Raw genomic sequence first — 22,556 nt, 5'->3', positions numbered from 1 at the left:
ACCCTGCAACCCTGGGCACCCACACCGGGAGGTGCCCCTGTCCCTAGGCTCTCTCCTCCGAGGCACCCGCTTTGTTCTGCGTAAACACCACATTCCAGGTGTTCTGTGACTTGATTTCAAAACCCAGGCATAACCGACAGGCAGTGAAGCGCAGGAGTCTGAAGTGACGGTTTGATGTCCACTCGGCACTTGCCGTATGGCCACTAATTCCGGACGGGCCCACTGCGCCTCCGAGTGAGGTGCCAGACCCCCTGGCTGCCAGCCTCCTGTGGCCTCTTCAGCACCATCTGGCTTGCGCCTTTTTTTGTCCAGCTTTTTGACTCAAAGTAACATTTCTGAGACTCTTCCCCGCTGTGTGTGCGACGGCGCTGGGTTCCAGCTATCGCTCTTCCTCTTACCACAGAGCAGAATTCCACGGCGTGAGCCTGGTCCCGGCTGGCCCCTTCTGCTGTGGATGGCACTGGCCACCTCCAGTGTGGGGCTGAGGAAGGAAGACGCTGCGTCCAGGAGGGCGAGTCTTCTGTGGCCGCAGCCGGACTTGCTGTCCTGTGTTCATGAGAGACAGCTATCCGTCTCCACGATGGGCGCAGCCCCCAGAGCTCCTGCAGCTACAGCGAGCCTGGAGATTTCCCTTCTCTCTCTCTGATAAACAATCACGTCGCAAACACCTGGACCATGTCTGTGCACAACACAAGGGTCGGGTGGCAGATTCCTGGAAGGAGAACTGGCTGGTGGAAGGATATTTGCATGTATAACCTTCACGGCCCGCACCCTCCGCGTGCGGTGAATGCGGGTAGCAGGGGTAGCAGGTGCGCCAGGGACCCCGTAGCGGCACACCCTGCCCGCACGCCCGTGTCAGGTCCTGTATGCTGGTGACTACCATCGGGAAGTCTTTCGGGTCATCCGTATTCTGTTTCTAAGCAGCTGTACGTTCATTTCTAGGTGGTTGCTGCTTTCACGCGGATTCGTGGGGGCTCCATCGCTGTCCTGCGAGCGATGTTGCTGCTCCCACAGGCTGGCCCTGCCTCAGATCCGGCGCAGCAGCCGTTGCGTGCCCGCGTTTTGTTCCGTCCGCCGCCTTCCCTTCCACGCCTGCTCTGCCTAGGATGCCCTCCCCAAAAAGACCACGTTAAACAGCCACACACGCTTCTATGGCTGCTGTGGCGTTGCGTTCGGTGTGTGGCAGAGTACTAAACCGTGTTTTTGAATAGATACCTCAATGACCGATGTCTTTCACTGAATAGTCTTCCCATGCCCATTAATTTAAATACCACTGTTTTTTAAGCAAAACAAAACAAAGCCTCCAGTCCTGCCTGTGTTAATTACTCCTGCCGGATAATGTTCTGTTATGGGATTCCTGTTCCCTTCTTTCCTGTGTCCTTCTGACGACTGTCCCCGACCTCCGCCCTAGTACACGCATCTCCGTGACGGTGCACATGCAGACGGGGGTGGGGTGGGCAGGAGGACCACAGGGAAGGGAGGGGAGAGGAGAGGGGAGGGGGTGCTGGAGCCTCTGGCAGGGGAGAGGGTGTGAGGAGCTGGCTTCTGAACAGGCTTCACGCTCGTGTGCATCTGGGGCCAGCCTGAACACCTCAGCCTCTCTGGGATTGCTCCAGCCACCCCCGCCTCCCACCAGACCCCTCCCCAGGTCCTCTCCTCCCCTAAGGCCATCTGTGGCTGGTTCCTGCCCCAGAGACACAGACCCTTCATTTCTCCTGAGCCCCTGGAGGCCTCACAGCCTCTGCCACAACGTCCCTCCCACCCAGCCTCTGTCTTGGGTTCCTGTTAACCTTAACCATGAGCGAGCAGGACCACATTTTCTCCACAGCCCCTTCTCCTCTCACGTTCCATGAGCCTCTCTTTTGCTCGGCATCAGGGCAGATGGGGCAGGCCCTGTGTCATTTCCTTGCGATAAGAACCCTGGCCTGTGCACCTGGAATTCCTGTCACTGGGCCACAGGTCTGTCTGGTTCATATCTGACCTGATGGCTCACTGAACAGCACAGGCTGTGCCCCTGGCCCTGGGTGCAAGGTGTGGACACTCAGCTGGGCCCTACCTCAGTGCTTCTGACATAGTCTGGTGGGGAGGAAAGCTGAGAATTTACAGATCCAGAAGGTCCAGAAGGTTCTCAGGTGATGGCAAGGGGGGTCCAGGGGTCACACGTGGAGAGCCACTGACTTGTCCTATTTCATTGAAACACCGCAGCCCATGCTTGGAGAAGGAAGCCCACTGCTATTCTGCTGGCTGGAGTGCGGCAGGACAGGCCAAGCCTGCTGGCTCTGCCCACAGATGGTCCAGTCCATGCGGGGGTCCTGGAGACCCTGTCATAGCATCCGGCCTGTGGCCCTGAGTCCCTTCAGTCACCTCAGCTGGGGTGAAAATGTTTCTTTGGGAGGCTCCGGCTGTGGGGGGTGCACACCCTGAGCCCGCCTGAGGCCTCTGCAGGACAGCCGCCTGCCCTGCCGAGGTCCTGGCCGTGCAGAAGCAGCACCAGTCCCCGCTTTCCGAGCAGAGCCCACAGCTCCGGGTGATAACACACACCCCACACATGGAGAAGGCTGTGTGGCGTCTGCAGGGCCTTGTGGAAGACCATCCTCAAACCCAGCTCCACCGAGCAGCCCTTTCAGTTCCCAAATGAGTCAGGACCCAGAGGAATGAGGCCAATGTGAGGGAGAACATCAGTCCCTGCCTGGTGCCAGAGGACACGCCGCTGCATGAGATACTCAGTGGCGGATGGGGCGGGAGGCACGGAGGTTCTTCTGAGAAGTACAAAGGGGACATCACCTTGTTGCTTCTGCATTGTTCCATTTCGTTATTTCTGCAGGAACAGCGATATCTTCCACTGATAGAAGCGAAGGAATATCCATCCAGTAGCACCGGCCGCGCAGGGCATGCTTTGTTCCTGGAGATAGCGGTACGCATTCTCCCCTAAAGGCGACTGGGGGTGGGCTACGATTTTGTAATTTTTTAAACATGAGCAGGCATGCTCATTACAGCGGCATCTCCCTGTCTTCTGACCACATACGATGACTAATTGCTCCCATTAAGCCAAGTTCTGGGATACACGTCAGGTGGAGCAGAAGAATGGAGATAATGTTAAAAACTGCATCAAAATAAGTGGGACTTTCCCCAAGCGTAAAAGAAGCATTTATAATCATAAATATGAAAAACATTAAATTCTTCTACCCCATCTTAATGAAATGAGAGAAAAATTCCCTTTCCTCAAGATTGGCAGTGGGTAAGAAACAGTCCTTTAGAAATATTACATGAAATTCATTTGAAGGCTGTAGTTGGTGGGAACTGGGTATTAGCCTAAATGCAGAATGTTTTCAAAAGGCATTACTTTCACGCAGAGAAAAGCTTCTTTTTGTTATCAAGGGTACAACTGCTATTCGATACAACTAAAATGTAGAAGAATTTAAAAATCTAAAGTGTTCATATTTATTTCTATGAACTTGGTCACAGACCCACTTGCCTGGAAAGCGAGTTAAAACACAAATTTAAAATATTTATCTCTGAAAGGAAAAACTGATAGGACACATTCAAATCAAACTCCGTTATGACTTTGGCTCTGGCAAGCTATTTCTGGGAACATTTTTCCCAGCAAATGCAAGCAGGAGCAGGAAATGTGACTAAACATGGCAGCGATGGTCGACACACCACACAGACACTGCAAACCCTCTCTATTGTACTCACAACTGCCAAAATACGTTCACCAGAAGGATCCTGAGCTAAGGGAACACTTTAGTTCATTTACAATAGGTGAAAATATAAAATTTTGTTGTAACTTATGAACTGAAAAACTCAGCATCATTTTCTCAACATTTTGAAGTATTATGCATTCCCTGATGGCTTCATCACACAGAAATCCTGCTCACTGGCCTTCCTGAGGTTAAGAGAATCATGTTCTTCCCCATTTTAAGCACCAAGCTGCAAAAGTGCATGCTCTCCATCCATCGGCAGCACCCATGACCCCGCCTCACTCGGATGTTGGACTTCAGTACCCCACGCTAGTGGCGGGGATGTAATCACCTGTTCAGTTCAGAGGCCAGCGTTCACCCACAGAAGCAGTGATGGAAGGCACTCATCAGACAGAAAAGTCTGGCCCCACAAGGGTGACCAGTGTTTGCACAGGTGAGAGTCACACTCCCATACCACATCCAGTATCTCTGATTGATAAACATCCGTAAAGCCACGTTTATGTTTCCATAAATAATAACACTCGACTAGTAAAGAAGATTATTGACACTTGCTATGGGTCCTCAGAAGGAACCCTGTTAGTGGAACAGCCGGCCTGACGGGAGCCTCATCATCTGAGCGGGCTTAAACCTAACACAATTTCCGCTTTTTCATCGTAACGCATCGTGCACGGCTATGCGGTTCCTCTAGGCATTTCCCCGACAGTCAACCAAGCACAAACTCTGCCTGCCACATTGCCTGGGACTCCCGTCGAAGCCAATCTCAGCCAACCGTCCTGCCCGCGGACCGCTCACCCAGGGCCCTCAATCCCTTACCTTGGAACAAAGCAGCTCTGTGAGGCTGGGAACGATCAGGTTTGATGTGGGTATCGGACAGATGGCCACTCTCCCCGTTTAGACAAGATGAGATGCTACCGGAGAAAAAGGAGAGTGGTGCTTCGCTCTCCACCGAGGGAGGCTGCCCACCCCATTGGCCTCGGGCGGGAGCCGCGTGACATGGGCCAGGCACATGTGACCCACTTTTTGCCCAGCTCCCCTCATGCCCTTGGAGGGTGGACCCAGCACTCATGCGCTGTCATTTCAATACCCCCTTCCCCCAACAGGGGCGACTCAACAGCCCGGCGAGCCTGTAGGACACACGGCCGCAGCAGCTAAGCCCCTGGAATAGGAAGGGGTGGGTGGGGGCAGAAACCCCAGGACCCAGCATTAATCCCAACACAGCTCCTAAGACACGAGCTTTTGCTGCTGCTGCCGCCAGTCTGCCATGGGTGGCGTAGGCATAAAGCAGGTCCCTACCCGGACAGCGGGGCTGACCTGGGCTTGGCTGGTGACGCTCTTGCAGGTCCTCATGGACTGCAGGATGAGGCTATTCCTCACCAGGAGGAGGTACCTGAAACAGCATGAACTGGAAATTCCCTCCTTTCCCTGTTTTCTTCTTTGTTGTGACTGAGATGTTCCAGGTCTGCCCCACAAGAAAGACCCATGCAAAGCTGAGTGGACGAGCTGCAGCCTCAAATGTGGTCCTGATGCCAGCTGTGCCCCAGGTAGGTGGGGTGGAAAGGCCTAGCCCAGGACCCCACAGCCCAGACACTCGGGGCCAAGAGAGGAGGTACAGGATGCACACTGCTCCACCCATCAAACTAGGCACTTCTGCCACAGAGTAGGAGAAAGTCACCCTCTGTTCTGTTACAGGCTTCTTACCTTGATCCCACCATGTTACACAAGACTCAGGGGCGGTAATGGGAAAAGCACACACAACAGGCAGAAGTGAAATGTGAATGCAAAGAGAAGCCACTGGGCTGTGAAGAGGGCCCGGTTTCGTCGGGGACAGGCTGAGCTGGCTCCTGCTGGGGCCCACACAATGTGCTTGCAGCTTTCTGATGCCAGACAAGGCACAGAGACAGTGTGTGGTGTCCTGCATGTCTTACTGACCAAGCAAAGTCAGTCGATTGCTTATTAAAGAAAGAAGCTAAAATAACGAGTATCGGAGGTTCATACAGAAAAAAATAGAATATGTGTACATGCAAAAGAAAAACCTGTCACTGATCATTACCCAGAAGGACCACGGTTGATATGTGTTATCTTGAGATCTGCCTATTCAGACTTTGGTCTAGTAGGCCTGTGTTTTTATATCTTTTTAGCAAAAATAGTAACCAACCATGTTTGTTTTTCTTGCTATTATACATGAAATATTTTTCTATGTTACTATATTGAAGTCTGCATAAAAGGGAGCAGATTCCCCACGGTATTGCATTTTGTGCATTTTTATGCATTTATTCTGATGCATAAAAATCTGCAGTGACTGACAATTCCAGGTATTTTGAATTGTTACAGTAACTAATAATGTAATGTTTGTTGCTATGATTTAAATGTACGTGTCCCCCCACCCGCCCCAATTCCTATGTTGAAACTTAAGACCCAGTGTGATGGTATCAGGAGGTGATTAGGCCATGAGACTCCGCTCTCAGAAATGGACCAGTGCCTCATAAAAAGGCTCAAGAAAACTAGCAGGGTCCTTTTTACCCTTACATCCCATCCACCATGGGGACACAGCGTTCGTGGCCTCCAGGGGAAGCAGCGTTCAAGGTGCTGTCTCAGACAGGCCGACCCTTCCCAGGCGCAAAACCTGCTAGAGTCTTGATCCTGGATTGCCAGCCTCCGTAATGGTGAGTGATACATTGATTCTGTTTATAAATTGCCCAGTGTTGGGTATCTTGTTCTAGCAGCAGAAACGGACTAAAACCATGACCTTTGAGTGGATCCCGTTCTGTCTCTCTCTTATTTCCTTGTAGTCTGTACCTATAATTTTGGGGCCAAAGGAGGCACAAGCTGAAGTGCAGGGCGAGAAGCAGGCCCAGCTGGCGCCATCCAGTCCATTCCTCTCCACTGGGCAGGCTCTGCCCTCGGTGCGGTCTGCAAGCACTGAGCTTATGAACACGGAGGGGTCAGGGAAGAAGAGGAGGAGGATACGGTGGCCACATTAAGACAACTCTCGCTCTGCATCTGGCACTGCTGACTAATTTAATCTTGAGCAGCTCTCGGTGTGGGGTTCCTGTTACGGATGGGGAGAACAATGGCAGAATCACTCAAGGCGTGCTCTGGCCCTAAAGCTTGGGTGGTGGGGCTGGCACCCAGGCTGGCAAGGGCCCAGGCTGTTGCCCCAGCTGGCTGGGGCAGGACTGGACACTGAGCGTTGAGGCTGGTGTGGGTGGGCCTGTGGTGTTCACAAACAGCCTGCTGGAAGGCAAAGCAGAACAGGCAGGCAGGGCCTGGTTGCCAGTGGGGTGGAAGGTGGGTGGCTACCAGCAGATGTGAGGCCCAGGTGGGTGCTGTGGGTAAGTGGCCTTCTCACCTGCTGTGTGCGGTGGGGAGAAGGAAGCTGACCAGGCAGCAGCTGAGAGGGGGTGCTGGCAGAGGTGAGAAGGCATGGAGGCGGCTGCACACCAAGCCACAGCGCTTGTGAAGGGAGGAGCTGAGGGTGTGACTGGGAAGGAGCAGCCCAGAGGCAGGAGGGGAACTGGGGCAGGGGCCTCCACAGGGCCCAGGATGGGCAGGAGGAGCCGCTGGCTCAGTGCCGCCAAGAGCCCAGTGAGGGCGAGGGGAGGTACAGAGCGGCCCTGCTCGGAGGGGTCACTGCCAGCAGCCTCGGAGTGGAGGCCGAACACAGTCATTTGCACCCAAGGCGAGCACTGCACCTCCACGGGGGTCGCTGCCAAGGGCTGCTCCTCGCCACACTGTTTCCTCTACCAATCCTGCTCCCAGGGCCACGCTCAGGGGAGGGGTCGCTGCCGGCCGGAGGGGCACAGCTGCATCACGTGTGTGTAACTGCCTGTGTAAGGAAGGGCTGTCCATCTCCCCCGCAGTCTGCATTGTGCCTGTTTTACTCTGCGCTGTCACGCAGCCTCGCACGATCTTTGCTGTTGGCCATGAGAGGCTCTTTCAGGTGGGCTTCGGTGTCCCTCCAGGGCGATGGGTTTTCTACCTTGGGGCTGTCATGTGCTCAGGCTCATTTGTGCTTCCCCACCCAGAATCTGCCATTTCTCCATGGAACCCTTCTGTTTTCCAACCATTTCGGTAGAAAGAGGATAAAAGGCCATGTAAGTTGCAGCCCCAACTGCGTGTTCAACACAGACAGCAACATGGTGTAAAATGTCAACCAAGTCAGCTGCACAGTCCTAACTGCTGTTAGCCATATCACTCCTGCCAACATGCAACTTTCGACGTAATAAAATTAGAGACCTAATGGTGCTGCTGTGAAAATTTCACATTTACTACATGTATGTGAATACAGCTGCTTCATTCCTTTTCTCTAAAACTGCCAGGACACAGAAGGGCACCGATGTACCCTGGGACTTGGAAGCCACAGGAAGGAGAAGCAGCCCAGAGGCCACAGCCCGGATGTCGGCTGGAGAGGGCACCTGGGCCTGGCTCTGGTCTTTCTGAAGCTGCGTGCTGGAGCCTTCGGTTACCCACTGAAGTCCAGGAGGTTAGACCCCATCCACAATGGCAAGAACCTTCCAATCCAGGTGCCGAGGACACCCCCATGCTTGACTCCTGGGTGCATTTGTCAGAGGGTGGGGGCACCGGCCATCCCTGGGCTGGCTGGTCCCTGAGGCCCATCCTGGTGCACAGCTGCTGTGGTTTTACAGTGGAGCGGCCCTCTGTGTTCCCCAGGAGCAGCCTCCCTTCTCCATTTAAAGGAAGTTAAAGGTGTTGAAGGAAGAGGCCGCCTGCCCTGCTTCCTCAGCTGACATGTCTCTCTGTGACCCGGGTGTGGAGACCAGGCCTGGGAGGTGAAGTGCCCTCACCTGGGGTCCAGCTGTGCTGCTCACGGTGCACGATCCCCAAAGGCGCACTCAGTGCTGGAACAGGCCCTGGAGAGGGAGGTGCCCAGCCGAGTGTGGAGCCCGCTCTGGGGCCAGGCGCCCACCCATCACACTGACGGCTGCCCCTAGTGGTTTCTCCAAGAGGGGAGATGTCGCGTGTTAGGACTGGCCTTCCCTGAGCAGAGGCAGGGAGCCAGGGTGAGGCTGGCAGCCAGTGGAAGGCCAGCTGTCCAGGGTCCCAAGGGCCACCTTGGAGTTTCCTGGGCAACCTGGGAGTTTTCCTCCCCAGGGGCTCTGAAGCAGTAAATGGGGAGAGTGTGAAATGGATTCATCCCTGCTTCTGATGCATAGCCATGCAGGGGAACCCCCATATGATGCAATTCTCTCTCAGAGAACCCTCTCTGGCCTTGTACCCTGACTCGCTGGCCACCTCTGCTGCACAGCGCCTCCCGGCCCGGCTGACCCGCTGGCCACCTCTGCAGCACGGCCCCTCCTGGCTCAGCTGTTCCTGGTCGGGGACCTGCTGATACCACAGCACAGTGCCGGGCATTCACAGAGCTCACATCCCAAGGACGGTGACACCAGCAAAGGAGTGGACAAGCAGCAGGAGTTGGTGGCAGCAGACAAGGCTGGAAAGGCTGGATTGGGGTTTTATATGGCGTCTGTATTCATCTGTTCTCACGCTGGTAATACAGACATACCCGAGACTGTGTAATTTATAAAGGAAAGAGGTTTCATGGACTCACAGTTCCACATGGCTGGGGAGGCCTCACAATCATGGTGGAAGATGCAGGAAGAGCAAAGGGACGTCTTACATGGTGGCCGGCAAGAGAGGGCACGTGCAGAGGAACTATGCTTTAGAAAACCATCAGATCTCATGAGACTTACTCACTATCACGAGAACAGCACGGGAAAGACCCGCCCCCATGATTCACTTACCTCCCACTGAGTCCCTCCCATGACCTGTAGGAATTGTGGGAGCTACAATTCAAGATGAGATTTGGGTGGGGACACAGCCAGACCATATCAGCATCCATCAGGAAGACCTCACTGAAGGGGGACCTGGGAACTGTGGAAGGAAAATAAAATCTCAGGACCCCAAACCCACTATGACGAGGAGTTCAGTTTGGGAACAGAGTCATGCAAAGGTGGCCTTCCTTTTGGTCCTAAGCAGACAGCTGCAGATAGAAGGCTGCGAGGCTCCCCAGGGGCCTCCCTCACCAGCTGCCCACACGGAAATGCCCTCTGGGCCCCAGTCTGTACCCTAAGGCAGTGTCCTGCTGACTCTCACCCTGACAGTGTCAATAAACAGCTTATCTTCACAGGTACAGGACTAAGACAAGACGAGAAGCCGTTCCTCCTCCGCCCAGCCCGAGACACATGCATGTCTTCCTCTGCTCCAGGTTTACTTCACCTTATGGGAAATGCAGATTCTTGGAGAGACCGTGCGTAGATGACAGGTCCTCTACCGCCTCCCGCCAGCTCTTTCCCCTTCAAATACGAAAGTCCTAAAAGTCTCTTCGGAAAAATCCCAGGCAACAGGTCCTACAGTAACTTCTGTCTCTCTCCCTGGCGAGTCCTCAACCTTGGCAAAATAAACCTCTGAGCGGATTAAGATCTGCCACAATCCCATTTTGGTTGACAGGTCAGAGACTGGAGGGAGGTAAGGGAGGTCCATGAGGCTCCCTGGGGCATGGCCCGCAAGGCAGGAGTGCAGGGTGGGTCTGAGGAGCACGGTCAGTGGGAAGGGTGTGGGAATGGGGGAGGCCTGGCTTGGCTGTGGGGGGAGGCAACACCCCTGCCCTCTGCGAGCCTCTCCCACGACACCTCCGTCAACACTGGAGAGCAAGGCCCTGGGGGGCAGCCCTGTTTCCCCATCCCATCCAGGGCTCATGGGTCCAAGAGTGGCAGAGAAGCCAGCACCAGGGCTTGAGGCTTTCTGGTCACTGGTACATGCTGGCTCCTGTCAACAAGAAGAGCTAAACTCTACAAAATAATATTTGAAGAGATTTACTCTGAGCCAAATGTGAGTGACCATGGCTGAGGCACAGCCTCAGGAGAACCTAAGAACTTGTGCCCAGGGTGGCTGGGGTGCAGCCTGGTTTTATATGGTTTAGGGAGATATAGTGAGGTGTGCTCTGCTTTGAGGTCCAGAAAGGCAGGACAGCTCAAAGGTGGGGGGTTATAGGTGGTGTATTAGGCTGTTCTTGCATTGTCATAAAGGAATGCCTGAGGCTGGGTAATTTATAAAGAAAGGATTTCAGCTGGCTCAGGGTTCTGCAGGCCATACAGGAGGCTCAGCATTGGCATCTGTTTGGCTTCTGGAGAGGGGCCTCCGTGAGGACTCAATTCTGATTTTTTTTCTTGCCTATATTCCTATCTAAGGGTTCTGGGGAGTCATGCTCTACAAACCATAAATTCTCATCAGATGGGTTTTATTTAACCCTATATTGTGACTTACTTTCCAACCTGGCATAACATTATGAGACAAAGAATACAAAATAATTTACCCCAAAACATGTTTCTTTGCCATATCTTGAGATGGTCCTACAAAGCCGTCCTTTGTGGGGGAACATTTGCATCTGTAAAGAATCTCTATTAACATAGCTTGATCTTTTTCTCCCAGGCCCTCCCAATCCTGAAGAGATTAACTGAGAGTCCAGCAGCTTTTAAAGGTCTGAACAGGAAGCATTTGTCATCGACTGTCTCTAAGGACAGCCACTATGAGACTTCAGAAGAACCTTGGTCTCCACAATGCTTTATCTTAACCTGAGCATTTCCTTTCTATGATCCCAGGTCTTTAGACAAACTCAACCGTCAGCAAGAAAATGTTTAAATTTACTGATAGCCTGGAAGCCCTCACTTTGAGTTGTCCCACCTTTCTGGACCAAACCAATGTATTTGTTAAATGTATTTGATTGATGTCTCATGCCTCCCTAAAGTGAATAAAACCAGGCTGTACCCGACCGCCTTGGGTACATGTTCTCAGGACCTCCTGAGGGCTGCGTCACAGGCCATGGTCATGCAGATTTGGCTCAGAATAAATCTCTTCAAATATTTTACAGAGTTGGACTTTTTTCTTTGACATCAGGAAACTTGCGATCATGGCGGGAGGCAGAGGAGCAGGCACGTCACCGGGGCAGAGCGGGGGTGGGGGGGGCGTGCCACACACTTTTACACAACTAGGTCTCCTGTGAACTCAAGGACAAGAGCTCGGTCATCACCAGGGGATGGCCCAGGCCGTTCATGGGGAAGCCGCACCCATGACCCAAACACCTCCCACCAGACCCACCTCCAACACTCGGGATCACATTTCCATGTGAGATGTGGGTAGGGCAAATATCCAAGCTCTATCAGATGAATTAAAAGATGTTCTGATGGGTACTTGGTTGAATGAGTTAAGTTACTATCTGAAGGCCTGGAATCAATAGAAAGGAGTGTCTGGGTTAAGAGAAGGGGCTGTGGAGACCAAGGTCCTTATTATGTGGATGAAATCTCATAGGTGTCCACCCTTAGAGGCAATACATGGCAAATGTTTCCTATTCAGACCTTCACAAGGCACTAGACTCTCAGCCAGGCTCCTCAGGATTGGGAGGGTCTGGAAGGGGAAAGATCCAGTTATGTTAATACAGGTTCTTTACAGATGCAAACTTTCCCCCATAAAAGATGGCTTTGGAGGCCCATTTCAAAATATGGCAAATAAACATATTTTGGGGTAAAATATTTCTGTTTCCTACTTTATCTGTCATGTGATGTGAAGCCACAGTCAGATTGAAAAGCCACGTTATATTGGGTTAAATAAAACCTGTCTCATGAGATGTTACGGTTTGTACGGTGTGACTCCCCAGGCTCCTTAGATAGGAATTTGGGCAAGAGAGGAAAAAGGTCAGAGTTTAGTCCTCTCTCCAAGCCGAGCAACTTCCCTGGCAGGAGGTTTTCTGTCTCCCTGGGTTCCACCCGCCTGTCACCTCTGCAGCGCGTTCTGTGCCTGTGTGGGGTCCGGCCCTCAGGCCATCGGGCACTTGGATCCCGGGCAGAAGGCAGACAGACACGTGGGCCTGACCCCACACACTGCATGGCCTGCAGCACAGACCTAGGGTGGCGGGGTACGGAGGCAGCCTTGGGTCTCATTTAAATCCCAGAGAGAGCATTTATATCTCAGATGTAGGAGGCAACCGGCCTGGTTGGGTTCAGGCTTCAACTCTAAGGGGCTCTGTATGTGGTTCCCACGTTGGTTGTTTCGGTCTTTGCAGGGCTCTCCAGGCCTTCCCACGCATGCCCCCCTCTGTGCTGGTGGGGTGTGGGGTCTGGGAACTGGGCAGCAGTCCACCCCATGGTGCGGTTCTCAAGGTCTGTGATGGGCTGTTTGAGGGCGGATGTGTGTATGTGAAGCTGGGGATGAGTGTGGGAGAATGCCCAGCCCTCTCCGTGGGCTTCCGGAGCCTGCGTCTGTGCTGGCCTCCCTGTGCCTCCCAGATCCCAGGATTCCTCTTTTCCCTCCTGCAGTCGGGAAGCTCCAGCTCTGTGCACTGGCTTCCCAGGTGCACTCCTCCAGGATCAGCTGTGGGAAAGCGCAGAGAGAGAGAAGGCACTTGGGCATCGCTGCCAGACTTGGAGAGGAAGGCTCCCTCCCTCCGTGGTGGAGCCTGGGGGCCCCTGCGGACCCCCTTGGCCATTCCTGGCACCACTATTGTCGCCATAAGGCTGCCTAGGGTCCCCTTTCCTGCTCTTCGAGCTGTTCCGAGAGGCTCCTCCTGGAGCTCTCTGTCAGCTTTCTGCCATCTTCTGGGTTTCAGCCTGCTGTGAACTCAGGCAGGAGAGATCGTAAGTTTCCATTTCCTCCAGCACTCCTGCTACTTACTTCTCAGACCACTGCATTCCGCGGGGCAGAGGCTCGGAGTGCTTGCTCCACCCACCCAGAGCCCACACCCAGCTTCATTTCAGTCTCATCAAAGAGCATCTTCTCCTCACAGTGAACAATCCAAGAGGGAAATTAAGAAAACACTTCTATTTACAATAGCATCACAAAGAATAAAACACTTGAGATAGGCACACACAAGGGCACCGCTCCTAACAGCCAAACGGGTGAAGCCTTCCTGTCCACTGATGGCTGCAGTCTTTACATACAACAGGATATCGGTCAGCTTTCAAAAGGAAGGACATTCTCACACATGCCACAGTGTAGATGAACCCTGAAGACAGCAGACTAAAAGAAAGAAGCCAGATACAAACAGACAAATGCCATATAATTCCACGTGTAGCGGTCCCTAGAGCAGTCAGATTCCTAGAGACAGAGAGTAGGATCCTGGGTGCCAGAGGCTGGGGGAGGGAGGGTTTAATGGGGACAGAGATTCAGTTCAAAAAGTTGAGAAAGTTCTGGAGATAATGGTGGTGATGGCTGCCCAGCATATCCCTGAACTGTATGCTAAAAAATAGTTAAGATGGAAAATTCTATGTTATGTACATTTTACAACAACTAAAAATAAAAACAAAAATAAATTTTAAAAAAGCATGTGTGGTAGCTGACACACATGCAGGGCAGGAGGAGTCGTATTTGAGCCTGCAAGTCCAGGCTGGCCCTTGCATGGAACAAACCGCACAGCCTCTCAGGGCCCAGGTTACTGAGCTGTGAAACGTAGAGGCCTCATCCCACCCCTTCCATCTCTCTCCCAGGCCCAACTTCACACGGATGCTGCTCTTTGTGTTTCTTTGCGTTTTTGTCCCCCCCGCCCCACTCTTACCTTTTTGGAAATCTCTTCTCTTCCTAGCCTCGTGCACAGAGGCTGAGATGCGGATATCAGTTTATGACACGTCGGCACCACCGCTTCCTGGGAGCGGCTCCTGCCCCGTACCATCGGCTCCTTTTTATTCTCACCGGCCCTTATCACCACCACCTGCCACTGCCACCACGCAGGAGCCCATTCTAAAACACCGAGTGCCTGACTCTTACTCACATATGCTCTTGCAAAGTATGTGTGTATTTAATTTCCTATGCACGCGTCTGTACTCACACAGGCAGAATGGTTTAACACCACTCATGTTTCTTAGCTTTTTAACCCAGTGAGGCAGGAGAAGAGGGCCTGCAGGGAAGAAACCTAAGGTCTTCCTAGAACTAAATCAAATGCAAACACTTCAGCCATGACAGGAACACCCTCTCCATTCACAGGGGTGTACACCAAGTAACCAATGGAAACCTGCAGAGGGTATTGAAACCCCAGAAAATTCTGTCGCTGGGGCCCGTGAGCTGCTTGCTCGGGCTGCTCCCACCCTGTGGACTGTGCTCTCATTTTCAGTAAATCTCTGCTCTCACTGCTTCATTCTTTCCTTGCTTTGTTTGTGTGTTTTGTCCAATTATTTTTTCAAAACGCCAAGAACCTGGACACCCTCCACCAGTAACGCCAGCCCTGCCTTTAAGGGCCATTGGCACACCCAACCCACGGCATCTGGCTTCTGCCACAGTTAGGTTTTCACTCTTCTAGGCAGGGGCACTGAGGTCACCTTCCACCCCGACATCCACGGAGCACAACAAGGAGATGCTGTGTGCATCTGTCTCCATGAACCCGTGGAGATTTTGTCACCACAGAGATGCAGGACAGCATGCCAGGTCACAGCAGGCTCCAGAGAAGACATGCCAGCCCACCCCCTCTGGCCAGCGGCATGTGCACTTTCCGCATCTGCTCCCAATGCCTGGTGCGAGTCCACTGCCCGCTCCTGCTGGTCTCAGCTGTGGGAAGTGTACACGCCATGTCACTCTGCATCTCTCAGACAAGAAGTGAGTTTGCACATCTCTTCACCAGCCTTTTGTACTTCTTCTTCTGTAAACTGTCTTTCCGATCCTTCACCCATTTTTCTATAAAAGTTACTGTATTAGTTTACTATTGCTGATGTTACAAATTACATCACAAATTTATTATCTTCTATTTCCAGAAGTCAGAGGTCTGAATCAGATCTCACTAGACAAGTCACGGTGTTTACAGGGCTGTGTTCCTTCTGAACAAAAGTCACGGTGGCTGCAGGGCTGTGTTCCTTCTGAACAAAAATCAGTGTGGCTGCAGGGCTGTGTTCCTTCTGAACAAAAATCAGCATGGCTGCAGGGCTGTGTTCCTTCCGAACAGAAGTCAGGGTGGCCGCAGGGCTGTGTTCCTTCTGAACAAAAATCAGCATGGCTGCAGGGCTGTGTTCCTTCTGAACAAAAGTCAGGGTGGCTGCAGGGCTGTGTTCCTTCTGAACAAAAGTCAGGGTGGCTACAGGGCTGTGTTCCTTCTGAACAAAAGTCAGGGTGGCTACAGGGCTGTGTTCCTTCCGAACAGAAGTCAGGGTGGCTGCAGGGCTGTGTTCCTTCTGAACAAAAGTCAGGGTGGCTACAGGGCTGTGTTCCTTCTGAACAAAAGTCAGGGTGGCTGCAGGGCTGTGTTCCTTCTGAAGGCTTTGGGGAAATTTTCCCTTGTCTTTTCCAGGCCACGTTCCTTGCCTCGACCTTCGAAGCCGTCAGCTTTTTTTAAGCTTTATTTATAATTGACGCATAATAGTTGTACATATTTACAGGATACAGTATGATGTTGCAATACACGTATACATTATTTAATGATCAAACCAGGGAAATTAGCATATCCATCACTGTAAACATTTATGATTTTGTGATAACATTCAAAATCCTGTCTTCCAGCTATCTGGACAGACATATTATTATTAGCTATAGTCACCCTATTGTTAACAGAACACCAGAATTTACTCCTCCTGTCTAACTTTAACTTTGTACCTGTGGACCAGCCTCTCTTCTTCCTAGCCTCAGGGCTGGGGAGCTTTATTATCTATTTTCTGAAACAATCTGTGTAAGTTAGAAATCAAGTGTTCCTTAAAGTTAGGTATAATTCACCCATAAAAATGTGTCTGAGAACTTTTTTTGAATGGAAGTCTTTGATTGTCACTTAAATTTCTTTAGTATTATTGGCTTATCCAAGTTCTCTATTTCTTCTCAAGTCTATTTTGGCACTTCCTATTTTCCCAGGAAGTTATCAATTTCACCTATGTTTTCAAATGTGTTAGCATATGGTTTCCCACAGTACTCAACTTTTCTTCTTGGCTGTATCTATGGTTATTTCTTTACCTATCTATCTATCTATCTATCTATCCATCCATCTATATTTATTTTTATTTATTTATTCACTCATTCACTCCTTTCTATATTCTGTTCCATCGACTGTCACCAGTATCATCCCTTCACTTTCTTTCTTTTTTTTAAGACAATCTCACTCCATGGCCCAGGCTGGAGTGCAAGGGCACAATCTTGGCTCACTACAACCTTCTCCTCCCGGGTTCAAGCAATTCTCCTGCCTCAGCCTCCCGAGTAGCTGGGATTAAAGGCACACACCACCACACCTGGCTAATTTTTGTATTTTAGTAGAGACAGGGTTTCACCATGTTGGCCAGGCTGGTCTCAAACTCCTGACCTCTTGATCTACCCACCTCGGCCTCCCAAAGTGCTGGGATTACAGGCGTGAGCCACCACGCCCGGCCCTTCCACTTTCTTTAACCAAAGATCTAACTATTGACTCTAAAACACAAAACAGCTTTCAGGGCTGTGAATTTTCTGTTTTTCTGTGCTCTCTATTTCACTGATTTCTGCCTTATGGATCCTTGGGCTTTCTCTCTTGCTCTTTTTTCAGCCTCTTGAGTTAATTTTTCATGTTTCTTAACACGTGTTTATAGCTACAAATGTCCTTCTAAGCACTGCTTTAGCTGTGTCATGCTAATTTGGACATATACTGCCTCATAATCACTCAGCCCTAAAGTTCTTTTATTTCTTTTATGATTTTATTTCTAACAAGAGTTTTTTATAGCATATTATTTATGTAAGCTATTCCTTTACTATTAATTTCCAGTATAATTGCCTTATGCTCTCCACATGCTGTGTTATAGACAGATTTCACCTGTACACATACATCCCTATGTTACAGACAGACTTCACCTGTACACATCCTAGTACTGTACATGCTCTCTGTATGCTTAGAAAGTAACATGTAGAGTTCAAAATATACCTAACAGCTCAAACTTATTTATTATATTGCTTAAGATATTAATACTCCCGTTTATTTTTTGGTGACCTACTTCTTGAAGGGATATGTTAAAAGCTCCAAACACAACTGCTCATTCATCCAACGTTCCTTGCAATTGTATCAACAGAAGTTCATGGTAGCAGCTCAAGCCACGGCACTAATGTCTGCAGGGTATCACCAGACCACCAAAACAGCACCCCCACTCCTGATGCTCTCATTACCTACTCTTTCCAAACACCTCAGGACGATCTTCAGCCCCCAGCACAGCCTTCTTGTCCTTCATTCCTGAAACCTGTGCCTCCTTGGCTTCTCGGGGCTGGCTCCAGGGGAGAGCTGGAAGGCTGTGCGAGAACCACCTGGCCTGGCACTGGACCCAAAGGTGTTCAACCACAACCAGCTCACTGCTATCAAAAGCAGGGATCCCCAATTTCCCAAAGTCATATACAGAATAGTCTTCAGGGCACATTGTGGACTGAAGCAGGGTGAAATACAGCACTGTGTCACTTCAAACAGATTTCATTTGTCAAGGGTAAGTCTGACTTTGTTATATACACTCTTGGTAAACAAACAAACATGGAAACAAAAGACAGTAACTCACCTTCCCCCATAAGCAGGCTATAAGGTTTAGAGCAGATCCATAGACAGCAAAGGTTCAGACGTATTGAACTCAGAGCATCATAACCACAGCAGGTGATTTACAGAAGGGTTGACTTTTGTCGTGGAGCCTACCGACCTAAAACACAAAAACACAGGGCTGTGTGAGCGCACCAGTGCAGGGCCTCTCCGCCAGCACTGGGCTTCAACGGAACTGCCTCTTGCCTTCAACACAGCAGTCAACACCTCTTCAGCATTCGAGTACAAGGCACAGTGTGAGTGTGGAGACAGAGTGCCAGCAAGCGCTCCCCCCTGGGGCTCTTCCCCCCAACACCCCAAATGAGGTGACTCAACCCAAAGGCAGGCTTCCACTTCACAAGTGAGACGTCTACATGAAATGTTTTGATAAAATTGCACTTACTTACGTATTTCCTTATATCTACACTGATTTTAAAACAATATTTATTAAATTATATATTAATTTAAATACATTGCTGGTTTTCTAATTTCACTGATAGTGAACAAATTTCATCTAATTTCTTCAATTTCAGCATGGTCTTAGAGGAGAGACTTGGAAAAAAAAGGCACATTTGAGGTTGGATGTGGTGGCTCATGCCTGTAATCCCAGCACTTTGGGAGGCCAAGACGGGAGGATCACTTAAGGTCAGGAGTTTGAGGCCAGCCTGGGCAACATGGTGAAACCCCCATCTCTACCAAAATACAAAAAATTAGCCAGGGTGGTGGCGGGCACCTGTAATCCCAGCTACTCCGGAGGCTGAGGCAGGAGAATTGCTTGAACCCAGGAGGCGGGGGTTGCAGTGAGCTGAGATTGCGCCACTGCACTGCAGCCTGAGTGTGACAGAGTGAGTGAGACTCCGTCTCAAAAAAGAAAAAAAAAAAAAGGCATATTTGGAACCTTGGGAGAAAAAGGGAAGGAAGGATGGAAAGAGTAGAAATTCAGTTTCCTACAGAAATAAAAGCATAGCAAGGCATAAGAAGACACAGATTTAATCCATCTCCAAATGCACCATTCAGTTTTTTTCTAAAAAGAACCTACATTTTTGCTGACCAACAAAAAAGGATGCTATTGGACAAAGAAACCTGGTAAACCACCTGTGTCCCTTGGCATGTCCATTCCCAGCTAGAAACACCTGTTACTGCTAGTGCAGGAAAATCCAAGTGCTTTTAAAATAAATAGAAAAAAGGCATGCAAAATCCCTTTGGGTAAATGATGTTCTCCAAGTCGCAGACACTCCTGAAGTCCTTCATGGCTCTGAGAGAGGAAAACGGGGTGTGGGCACTAAAACTTCTTCAGCTAATGGAACTGAGAACTCCCACCCAGCGCTGCAGTCCAAAGCAAAATGAGTAAAAGCTGAGAAACAGAAATGAAACACTAAAAACACCAGGAACACAAATGTACAGTTAAAACAAAAAACTGTGAAATGAGAATTAATTTAACCCAGGACAGAAATGAAAGAGAATGACACAATTAGCCTAGAAATGAGACTAAGTTACAAGGTACCAAAAGAGAGAGATTCAGCTGAGTGTGAGGCAGGACAACAGAAGGAGGCAGGGAACAGAAGGCTGATCCATCCAGGCTGACTCCCTAGAACTAAATCAAATGAAAGCTCCTCAGCAATGACAGGGATGTGAACAGCTTTGCAACTGCACTTCACCCTCTCCGTTCACGGCATTTACCCTTTGTAACTTCATATGCATCCTCTCCATTTATACAGACCACACACTCCAAGTAGCATCCTCTCCATTTACAGTAGGGTGCATTCTGAGTAAATGACTCTGACTTCACTTCATTCTCTTCATTTTCATAGAATATTCGCCAAGTAACCAGGGGAAACCTCTAGAGTATCGAAACCCCAGAAAATTCTGTAAGCTCCTGAGTCCCGATGGTCAGGCTGCTCCCACACCATGGCGTGTACTTTCGTTCTCAATAAATCCCTGCTTTTGCTTTCCTTGCTTTGTTTGTGCGTTTTGTCCAATCCTTTGTTCGAGATGCCACCTGGACACCCTCTACTGGTAATGACTGCATAAGGAACACTGCAGGAGGACTGAGAACATCAAAGAGAACATGAGGCTGACCAAGAGGTGAGAGACGCGCAGAGAAGCTGCCAGATACAGAGCCCAGGCCAACAAAGACCCAAGAAACAAAGACTGGAGTTCCCAAAACAGAAAAGCAAAACTACGAAACAGACCTAATACTTAAAATCCTAGAAATGTTCTTAGGAAAAAAATAATCGACAAGTTGAAAGGCTCATCATGTACTTGAACAAACTGACCCAGAACGGTGGCCCTGAAGGCACTCCCCAGTAATGATTACAACTGAGAGAAAATTCTTTGGGACTCCAGGCAAAAAGACCAGCTTATTCACAAAGGGAAGAAAATCAGATGGGGATCGGACTTCCTGACTGCAATGTACAAGGTAAGTGAACAGTGGAGCAATTATTTTCATAAACTCAAGTAAAAATAAAGTGTGACCAAAGGATTTTATGTCAGCCAAACTGTCCTTCAAAATTAAAGCTCTAGAGAAATAGTTTTAAATAGCTAAGAACTCAATGAACACTGTGTTTCCAGGCCCAAACCCACTACAAAAGAATCTTCCTCAAGCCAAGAGACCACTGGGAAATTTGACATAAACAAAAATAACAAATCTGTTGAGCACAGACTAAAAGAGAAAGTGAGGGTAAGGATGGAGGTGGGCTGTGAAACAGCTTCTTATCGGGAAGCATGCTGTTCTGCAAAAGTAAAAATACAGCAAATAAATCAGAGGTAGATGAATCAGAAAAAAAGGAATGTAGAATAAGCTCATAGACTGAAGCATGAAAAATAGGTGGGAGAAAAGAATCCCACCAGACAAGCCAAAATAAAGAGGTCAGAGGAAGAAACAAGGGACTAAGGGTGCAATGAGAGGTGTTATTTATAACAGTAGCCAGCAGAACAAAACACAGACCTTCCTAAATGCCAAAAACAACAGAAAAAAAAAGCAAAGACACAAACCACATGTAAAAAATAAAAAGATGCACAATAAATAAAACACAACACACACATTAAATACAGGAGCAAGTTATGTGGCAGTTGGGACTGGACATACTGGTCCTAGCAACACATGAGTAAATGTAAATGGTTTTGGCCCTGTGAAAAATTTCCACTTGGCTCACAAAGCCAGCTCTGCTTTACACAAGAGACATGACAATTGCCAAGTGATTTGAAAAGGCTCAGTGTCAAGGAATGAGCAGAAGCACGTGAGGCCAGCGCACCAGGCTGAAGAGCAGGGATTGCAATCTCCCTGTGGGACAAGGTCCAGCCTCACCTCAAAGCAGGAAGCAAGACCAAGAAGGGCACTTCTTGATGCCGGAGGACCCAGTGCGCGGCGAAGCCATATGAGTTAAGAATCTGCTAGAACCCCAAACACGGAAGCTGGCTTTATAATGCAGAAACTATAGATGTTGGGGAAAGAAACAGAAACCTAAGAACAGCAATCATTAACACATGACTGTCAGCCATGGCAAGGTAAGGGGTCAAAAATAACTCAGCATGACAGAGAGCTAGTAACAGGAGGTAGGTCTTAGGGACATTACATCAAACTTTGTACTCCAATAATAGAGATTATACTTTCTTCTTAAACATACTTGAAACATTCGTTAAAAAAAAAAAACAAACAAAAAACTAGCTTGTATTAGGGCACAAAGAAAACCTCAGTAAGTTACATGAAATAGAAATGGCACAGACAGCAGACAGCAGTCTATGCTAACAATGCAAGACCAGAAAATAATGAACTTTAACCAAAGGCTATTTCCTTGGTAATTTATATCATTTTAGAAACACCTAAGGGGAACTGGTTCATGATGTATATCTATCAATATAGTTCTAGATATCTCCCTAACAAGTCCCTAAATTGGTAAGGAACCCCATGAGACCAGACATCGAGAGAGTGACATGACAGAACGACACATTCCTGCAGTGACCCGCCTCTTCCAACCTCACGCACACGCCCAGGGGAGCCTGAGAGCAGGCCCCTGATGGAGCTGGATACAAACGAGATGGAATCTCCACGTGGAAATGCTCTGCAGCTCCCTTTTCAGTGGGAAACACAGCTGTTTAGGAAGGCAAGGAGACAGAGGAGATGAAGGAGGCATGGGATCCCCTTCCTCACCTCTGGCCTGCTCTGGCTGTGAGACCCCGGGAGTAACAGCAGAGCAATGGCTTTAACATCTTGCTGAACATGCTGAACTGGCTGCCACAACAGATCAGCTTCAAAGGCAAGGACCCCAAGGGTGTCACATTCCCTCCTGGGCACAGTCCAGACAAAAGCAGTGCACTCAGCTGCAAACTACACACATGCATACACATGGCAAAGGCACACACTC

General features: G+C 49.8%; 1 protein-coding gene and 1 long non-coding RNA gene across 27 annotated transcripts in view, besides 3 other annotated features; both read right to left on the bottom strand.

Annotated features, from left to right (window-relative positions):
• The window catches only part of PCBP3 (poly(rC) binding protein 3), a 298,726-nt gene that overhangs the window by 74,177 nt on the left and 201,993 nt on the right, over positions 1–22,556 (bottom strand). For 18 of the 26 annotated variants that reach the window (NR_145492.2, NR_189734.1, NM_001382284.1 and 15 more), the window contains 1 exon segment: positions 18,179–18,313. Coding sequence is in view for 21 of the 26 variants with exons in the window: in NM_001382284.1 (NP_001369213.1) it covers positions 18,179–18,188 (10 nt within the window). In the remaining 5 variants the exon portion in view is untranslated. 26 annotated transcript variants of the gene reach the window in all.
• Positions 7,948–9,358, bottom strand: LOC124905044 (uncharacterized). Its single transcript, XR_007067913.1, has 2 exons — positions 9,271–9,358; positions 7,948–8,572 (listed from the first exon to the last, which is right to left on the bottom strand). It is a non-coding gene; the product is annotated as an uncharacterized LOC124905044 (long non-coding RNA).
• Positions 8,654–9,853: an enhancer, noted in NCBI's record as "BRD4-independent group 4 enhancer chr21:47278335-47279534 (GRCh37/hg19 assembly coordinates)". NCBI's record gives its function as "activates an origin of replication core promoter dependent on BRD2, P300/CBP, MED14 and CDK7 cofactors, and independent of BRD4, by STARR-seq in HCT116 cells {active_cell/tissue: HCT116}" and the evidence as "EXISTENCE:reporter gene assay evidence [ECO:0000049][PMID:35650434]".
• Positions 12,292–12,967: an enhancer, noted in NCBI's record as "H3K27ac-H3K4me1 hESC enhancer chr21:47275221-47275896 (GRCh37/hg19 assembly coordinates)". NCBI's record gives its function as "activates a minimal SCP1, AML or CMV promoter by ChIP-STARR-seq in naive and primed H9 embryonic stem cells {active_cell/tissue: H9 hESC(naive and primed)}" and the evidence as "EXISTENCE:reporter gene assay evidence [ECO:0000049][PMID:30033119]".
• Positions 12,968–13,644: an enhancer, noted in NCBI's record as "H3K27ac-H3K4me1 hESC enhancer chr21:47274544-47275220 (GRCh37/hg19 assembly coordinates)". NCBI's record gives its function as "activates a minimal SCP1, AML or CMV promoter by ChIP-STARR-seq in primed H9 embryonic stem cells {active_cell/tissue: H9 hESC(primed)}" and the evidence as "EXISTENCE:reporter gene assay evidence [ECO:0000049][PMID:30033119]".

Source organism: Homo sapiens, chromosome 21 (genome assembly GCF_000001405.40).
Source record: "Homo sapiens chromosome 21, GRCh38.p14 Primary Assembly".
Classification (NCBI taxonomy): Eukaryota; Metazoa; Chordata; class Mammalia; order Primates; family Hominidae; genus Homo; species Homo sapiens.
Note: the sequence above shows the minus strand (reverse complement) of the source record. Positions and strands in the feature narration are given on the sequence as shown.